The following is a 7,418-nucleotide window of genomic DNA, read 5'->3' on the forward strand; positions in this document are numbered from 1 at the left end:
TTTATGAATTAATTAATTAATTTTTTTTTTTTTTGAGATAGAGTTTCACTCTTGTCTCCCAGGCTGGAGTGCAGAGGCGCCATCTTGGCTCACTGCAACCTCTGCCTCCTGGGTTCAAGTGATTCTCCTGCCTCAGTTGCCTGAGTAGATGGGATTACAGGCACCAACCACCACCCCTGGCTAATTTTTGTATTTTTAGTAGAGATGGTGTTTCACCATGTTGGCCAGGCTGGGTCCCAAACTCCTGACCTCAGGTGATCCACCCACCTCAGCCTCCCAAATTGTTGGGATTACAGGTGTAAGCCACCGTGCCCAGCCTTAATTTGGTAATTTTTCACTTGATTTGTTTGCTATTATTTGATAAATTATATCCACCATTTTGGTTTCAGTGATTACCCTACAGATTTTAATATACATATTTATCAAAATCTCTGCTAACATTATCTCTACCTTATTCCTGACATTAGCAGGATTAAGAACCTGTAAATCCCAATCACTCTCTCTTAATGTATATGCTATTGTTAACTATTTAGTTCAATATTTTAGACACCAGAATTCATTATCATTATTTTTACTAGTAATAGTGCTTTTTCTAGTCATAGTGTTTTTTTTTTTTTTTTTTTTTTTTTTTTTTTGCACAGATTTTAACTAATTCCTTAGGTTTTTATTTCTTCTGGCATGTCAGACCATATAATCTGGGATTATTTTTATTCCGCTTAATGTTTAATTTTAGGAGTGTATGTGTCTGTAATCTTCATGGGTCTTATGCTCATTTTTTTTTTTGATTCTTCAGTGTCATTCTTCTTTGCTTTGTTTCCCCTGTCAATTCCAAAGAAATACATTGTATCTGTAAAGATGAAATAAGAATTATAAGTGTCCCTCTCCCCCTATTTAAATGAATATGTCTGGATTCTTATCATTGACTGGAAGGCAGAAAACAATTTTAAAAAAGGTAGCATTCTTTACTATATGTATAACCAAATATTACAATTGTGTGTATGTACATACATGTACATATATATGTACATTTTTGTATACAGACATTAGTCATCTTCCAAAATTCCATAAAAGGGCCATACGCTATGGTTGCATATTTGTTTAAAAGGTTGTAAGCTTCCTGAAAGCAGTGATAGTAGCACTGAATTTCTCTTATTATCTTACCTGATGCTAAACCGAAAGCAGATGTTCCATAAATGACTTAGGCGAAGAACATGGTTCATTTGTGCCGGAGCCTAAAAGAGAAATAGTGTTTTGTGAAAAGATGATAGCTGAATGCTGTCAATAATTTTGCTTCTCCTGGGAAAAGAATACCAGAATGATTGTTCAAGGTGAAGAAATTGCTTACCACACTGAAAAATATGAGAGGTTTTGCACACACAGGAAGGTGTCCTCATGCCTGAATTATTACTGGGGGAAAAGAATTGAACATGGTTGAGGACAACCATTTCCAGAATTGTGTTCCTCACCTGAAAGTTTCTAGACAGGAAGTGAGCACTGACAGACAGACTGAAGTATTTCATATTTTCTTAGGTGGCATTTTTGTTAAAGGATTTAAATATTCTTTGGAAGTCTATATACACTTGTAGAGCTGTAGAAAAGAAAAAAATAATGACTCTGGAACAAAACTGCCTGGAGTCACATCCCAGCAAAACTCTAGCTAGCCATGTAACTATGAGCAACCGTTTATCCTATGAAGCCACTATTTCCTCATTTGTACAACAGGAATACTCATGAAACCTACCTAACATAATTATTGACAGTATAAATGAGTTAATATAGATAAAATGTTTAGACCAGATCAGATTGGTACAATGTTAACATAATCTTATCTGCTTTCCCACCTGGACACCAAGGAATTGAGAAGTGAGCAAGTGTCTTATTCATATCAGAATGCTCCATATTTGTTTGTTTGTTTTTTGTTTTGAGACGGAGTCTTGCTCTGTCGCCCAGGCTGGAGTGCAGTGGCACGATCTCGGCTCTCTGCAAAATCTGCCTCCCGGGTTCGCACCATTCTCCTGCCTCAGCCTCCCAAGTAGCTGGGACTACAGGCGCCCGCCGCCACGCCCGGCTAATTTTTTTGTATTTTTAGTAGAGACGGGGTTTCACCGTGTTAGCCAGGATGGTCTCAATCTCCTGACCTCGTGATCCGCCCACCTCGGCCTCCCAGAATGTTCCATATTTCTAAAGGATATGACATAATAATAGTAGTAACAATAGTAATAATGATAATAGAGAAAATGTATTAACGTCTTATTATAGATGTCAGTCAGTGTGATTTTATGTTACTTATGTCATTTGCCCCATCATGTTGGGGCTAGTAATATCATTATGTTCACTTTACAGATGAAGAAAGCACTGATTAAAGAGGTTTATTAGTTTGTTCAAAACCAAGTAACTTGTAATATTTCAGTCAAATTGCAGTATTCCTTAGTAACCAATTTGTTATGTTACCTTAAAACTGTCAGGAATTTGATTAAAAATGCATTAAATAAATAAGGAAACAATGCATTTTCAATTAAACATCATTTATCTTCATAATAAACTTACTTTATAGATATGTTCAGTGATGGTAATGACTTCACATTCATTTTAGCATTGGGAAATGTGTTTCTTCAGTATCTTTACAGGTGCTACAGAGCGATGGTCTCCATAAGGTAAATAAAATGTGGTACCCTGGTATCTGTTTCTTTAATTGAGCTTTTAAAATATATATCATTTGAATGAAATTATAATGATTTCATTAACCTCTTTTGCCCTTTCTCAAACATAATGACTATAAATGTGATAGGAAATTAAAACTGCCCATTGCTGGAGGAAAGCAATCAAGCCAGATTGACCAATATGCTTACACGCTTGTCTGGAAACTTTTCTCCCTTAAATAGGGAAGCTGAAAGAGGAGGATCATTATAAATATCTATTTGTGTATCTATAAAGAAATTAAATCATGCAAACTCAGCCTCAGAATTTCAATGAATCAATTTTACAGACAGAAATCTTAAAATTTTTATTTCTTAGGGATTTCCACTTTAACAGAAATGATAAAACATCCTGGCTTATTTTATTCAGAAGGTGATGCATATAGATTCCATAATTTTCAGTGGTCACCTTAAAATGAGTTTCCAATACCAAATATTTTAGTATGGAATGACTTTTAAATCTAGGGGGAAAGAAGTCTATTAAGTACTCACAGGTGTGTAGGTCCATTTGCTGGATGCAGTACAAGCCAGCTGCTATCTAAGCTATGAGGCCTTGCACATTTAGTAACTTTGTCACCTTTAAAAATGAGTAAGTGTTAATAGATATGTTGGCATGTATTATAGGTATCACAGACAAAAAAGAAGCAATTAAATAATGTGATATGGCAAAGAAAAAAAAAACAACTAAAAAATTAGGGCCCAGAGACACACTGCTTCCAAGTTTATAAACAAAACAATCTCATTCTTTCCATCTCCATCTCCCTGTCTCTTTCTGTTGCTTTCTCTCTCTCTCTAGCACACAGACAGATACACATGCACATACACATAGAGAGGATCATAACCAATGGTTCTGAAATGATTACAAAGAACCCAAACTTAGTTTGATGCTGGTGCAGAAACTACCATCCTGTGAATCTATTTATAGGTTTAGCCTTTAGGGAAGGATAAGGATCACAGTGAAGGAAACATCATAAAATGAAAAATTTTCTTTCCAAAAGGACATTGAAAATTTTACCTTCCCTGCATTGCATGTGTCTACTTACAATGCCAAAAGCCCCCCCTCTCAAATAATTATTCATCTTTGTCATTCCCCTCCAGCATCATTCCTTCATTTTTAACCCGTTTTAGAAAGATACTCACTTTAAGAAATTATTTCTCAAAACAACTACAGCTACTGGCAAAGAAAGTGGTTAGAAAATGGAAGTGTGTTTGTGTGTGTGTGCGTGTTTTCCTTCCCCTATGTCCAATATATTTCCTCAGGTCTCTACTTTGGGACCGAGAAAGAGGAACTCTGATAATCCAATGTAATCCACCTTCCAAAGAATTGTAAACCCAGACCAAATTACAATTTCTCTTTTTTAAGACTAAATTATTTTATGTCTCTTAGGGGGAAAAAAGCAACAGGCACACATTTATTTGCATTAATATGTGATTGATTAATATCCCCACACCATTTCTGTTCATTTATACTGGAAAATAAGGTACATGTTGGCCACAGTAGATTTTCTCTTGGTAAAATTCCGAGCACTGCTCCATGTTATAAATAACAATACACAAGTAGATGCAGAACTTGTTTTCTTGCCCTAGTTACCTCCAAGTTCAAGGAGTTCTGCTAGGAAACCTGTTTTCAGTATTGCTGCCTTCAGGACCACTTCTCTGCAAGTGCTTATTCCTCATCTAATTCCTTTTTCTACAGAAGGCTTTCTAGCAACTACAAACTCTCAGTTTCTGACCTCTGCCGGTGATCTTCCAAACTTGTCACCTCCTCAGACTTTTCCACCAGCCTTTCTCCTAGGTCATCTCTACCTGCAGGATCTTGCACTCTCATCCTCAACCCCAGCGTTTTCTTCCCAGAAATACCTTCTGTTCAATCCCCAGGACAACTGCAGAAAAGTCTAGTGGCCAGGAGTCACCAAAAGACCAGAGCCCAGTACCCGGAACATAGCAGCTAATATGCCGAGAGAGAGAGAAAAGTGCCAGTGAGAATATGATTGAAAAGTATGCACACGCATTCTCCTTGAATTTTGGTCTTTGTTTTGTTCTTGTATAAATCAATGTAATAGTGCCCATTGTTCACAAGTGTATGAAGAAATGGACACTCATTTATAACAGCTAAGCAGGAAAAAAATGTTTCAAACTTTTTTCTCAAGCACAATTTAGCATTAGAAATAGAAATACATACTAGAAACCCCCTAACTGTGCAAAATACTAATCTAGACTTCCAGAAATTAATTTGAAGAAATATTTGCAGATATGTTCATATTCACCTCAAGTATACTTAGTGCAGCATTTTCAAAATAATGATATATTGTCAGTGATGTAAATACCCAACAAAGAAAAAAATGATCAGATTACTTATGCATATGCCAGACAACACACACATATCCTTTGAAAAAAATATGCAGCCACTAAAATGGCATTATAGAGGATGATTGAATGACCAGGAAATTGTTCATGATCTATAAATTGGCAAAGGCTCTTAAATTATAATATACCAATATTTGTGTGTGTGTGTGTTTGTGTGTAGAAAACTGCAATAAGGTTCACAAAAACATTAACACAATTTGTCTCTGAGGTATTGGAAATTTGATTCTTTTTTGGGTTTTTCTTTATTTCATCTAAACCTATAAATGTGATGGATAATTTTTATAAGTAGATATAATATTACTAAATATATAAATTATTTGTTGAATGAATTCATGAATTAATAAAAGAGTGATGAAATAACTAAATGAAAAATAAATGCATAGGTTTTAAACCCTCTGATCTGTGTATGATAGCCCCTTCCTTTTATTCACTTCTAAAAACACAGATGATCTCATTGTTCCACATTTCTTGTGATGTTTGCCATAACGTCAGCAATGGTGTGATATAGAAAATAGATGCCTACTATAAGTTGGACCTGCTATAAAATATCTCATTGTCATCTCATAAAAATATTTTGAACATTATATGTATATTATACTTCTATAAACAGGTTAAAAATTATCTACTGCTGTAAATTTCATACCCTCCAGTTTCATCATTTTTCTTATTACTGACCTATCTATCTATCTATCTATCATCTGTTTGTTTGTTCATTTATTAGAGACAGGGTCTCACTATGTTGCCCAGGCTTGCCTAGAACTCCTGTGCTCAAATGATCCTCCTGTCCCAGCCTTCCAAGTAGCTGGCATTACAGACTCACACCACTGTGTCCAGCTGACTTATTTTCTTTTTACAATGTAAGTTACTTCTCTTATTAATCCTCCTCCTACAAGATCTGTATTCTAATTCAGTGCCTCCCAATACAGTGGTAAAGAACAAGTTTGTTTTATTTATAGATTTATATTCAATTGCAGATCAATAATTCCATAAAATATAATAAGAATTAATCATTAGAAAAAGGAGTATTAGGCTGGGCGCAGTGGCTCACGCCTGTAATCCCAGCACTTTGGGAAGCCAAGGCAGGCAGATCACTTGAGGTCGGGAGTTCGAGACCAGCTTGACCAACCTGGATAAACCTCGTCTCTACTAAAAATACAAAATTAGCCAGGTGTGGTGGCACATGCCTGTAATCTGAGCTACTTGGGAGGCTGAGGCAGGAGAATTGCTTGAACCCGGGAGCTGGAGGGTGTGGTGAGCAGAGATCGTGCCAATGCACTCCAGCCTGGGCGACAAGAGCGAAACTCCGTCTCAAAAAAAAAAAAAAAAAAAGAAAAAGAAAAAGGAATATTAAAAAAGACATACCAAATACAAACCCAAACTTTTTCTATTGCATTTAAAACCACAAAATTCATCCCCGTAAATATCATATGAAACATTAGGAAAAAGAAAACAATTATAAAGTTTGTAAACTTTGTTCATTGAAATAATCATTATTATACTCATAATGTGATTCCTATTTTTACTAAACCAAGAGTTACAAGTCTGCATATTGTTCACATTTTGAACAAGCACCTATAGATTCATATATAATTTCTTTTTTTCTTCAACTTCTATTTTAGGTTCAGGGGTACAATTGCAGAATGTGCAGGTTTTGTTACATAGGTAAACGTGTGCCTTGGTGGTTTGCTGCACAGATCATCCCATCACCTAGGTATTTAGCCCAGCATCCATTAGCTATTCTTCTTGATGCTCTCCCATCACCCACATGCCCAACAGTCCGGTGTGTGTTGTTCGCCCCCATATGTCCATAATGTTCTCATGTTTCAGTTTCCACTTATAAGTGAGAACATGTGGTGTTTGGTTTTCCATTCCTGTGTTATTTTGCTGAGGATAATGGCTTCCAGCTCCAACCATGTCCCTGCAAAGGACATGATCTAGTTCCTTTTTATCACTGCATAGTATTCCATGGTGTATATGTACCACATTTTCTTTATCTAGTCTATCATTGATGGGCATTTGGGTTGATTCCATGTCTTTGCTATTGTGAATAGAGCTGCATGTGCATTTATGTGTATAATAGAACAGTTTCTATTCCTTTGGGTATATACCCAGTTATGGGATTGCTGGGTCAAATGGTATTTCTGCTTCTACATCTTTAAGGAATTGCCACACTGTCTTCCACAATGGTTGAACGAACTTACACTCCTACCAACAGTGTAAACGCATTCCTTTTTCTCCGCAACCTTGCCAGCATCTGTTGTTTCTGGACTTTTTAGTAATCGCCTTTCTGACTGGCATGAGACAGTATCACATTGTGGTTTTGATTTGCATTTCTCTAATGATCAGTGATGTTGA

General features: G+C 36.0%; 1 long non-coding RNA gene across 1 annotated transcript in view; it reads right to left on the bottom strand.

Moving 5' to 3' along the window:
• The window catches only part of LINC00971 (long intergenic non-protein coding RNA 971), a 231,171-nt gene extending 229,032 nt beyond the window's left edge, over positions 1-2,139 (bottom strand). The window contains exons 1-3 of the long non-coding RNA NR_033860.1: positions 1,842-2,139; positions 1,467-1,588; positions 1,162-1,232 (exon numbers count right to left, since the gene is read on the bottom strand). This is a non-coding gene — a long non-coding RNA (long intergenic non-protein coding RNA 971). The remainder of the gene's footprint in view (positions 1-1,161; positions 1,233-1,466; positions 1,589-1,841) is intronic.
• Positions 2,140-7,418: the final 5,279 nt, after the last annotated feature.

This window comes from Homo sapiens, chromosome 3 (genome assembly GCF_000001405.40).
Source record: "Homo sapiens chromosome 3, GRCh38.p14 Primary Assembly".
NCBI classification, from domain to species: domain Eukaryota; kingdom Metazoa; phylum Chordata; class Mammalia; order Primates; family Hominidae; genus Homo; species Homo sapiens.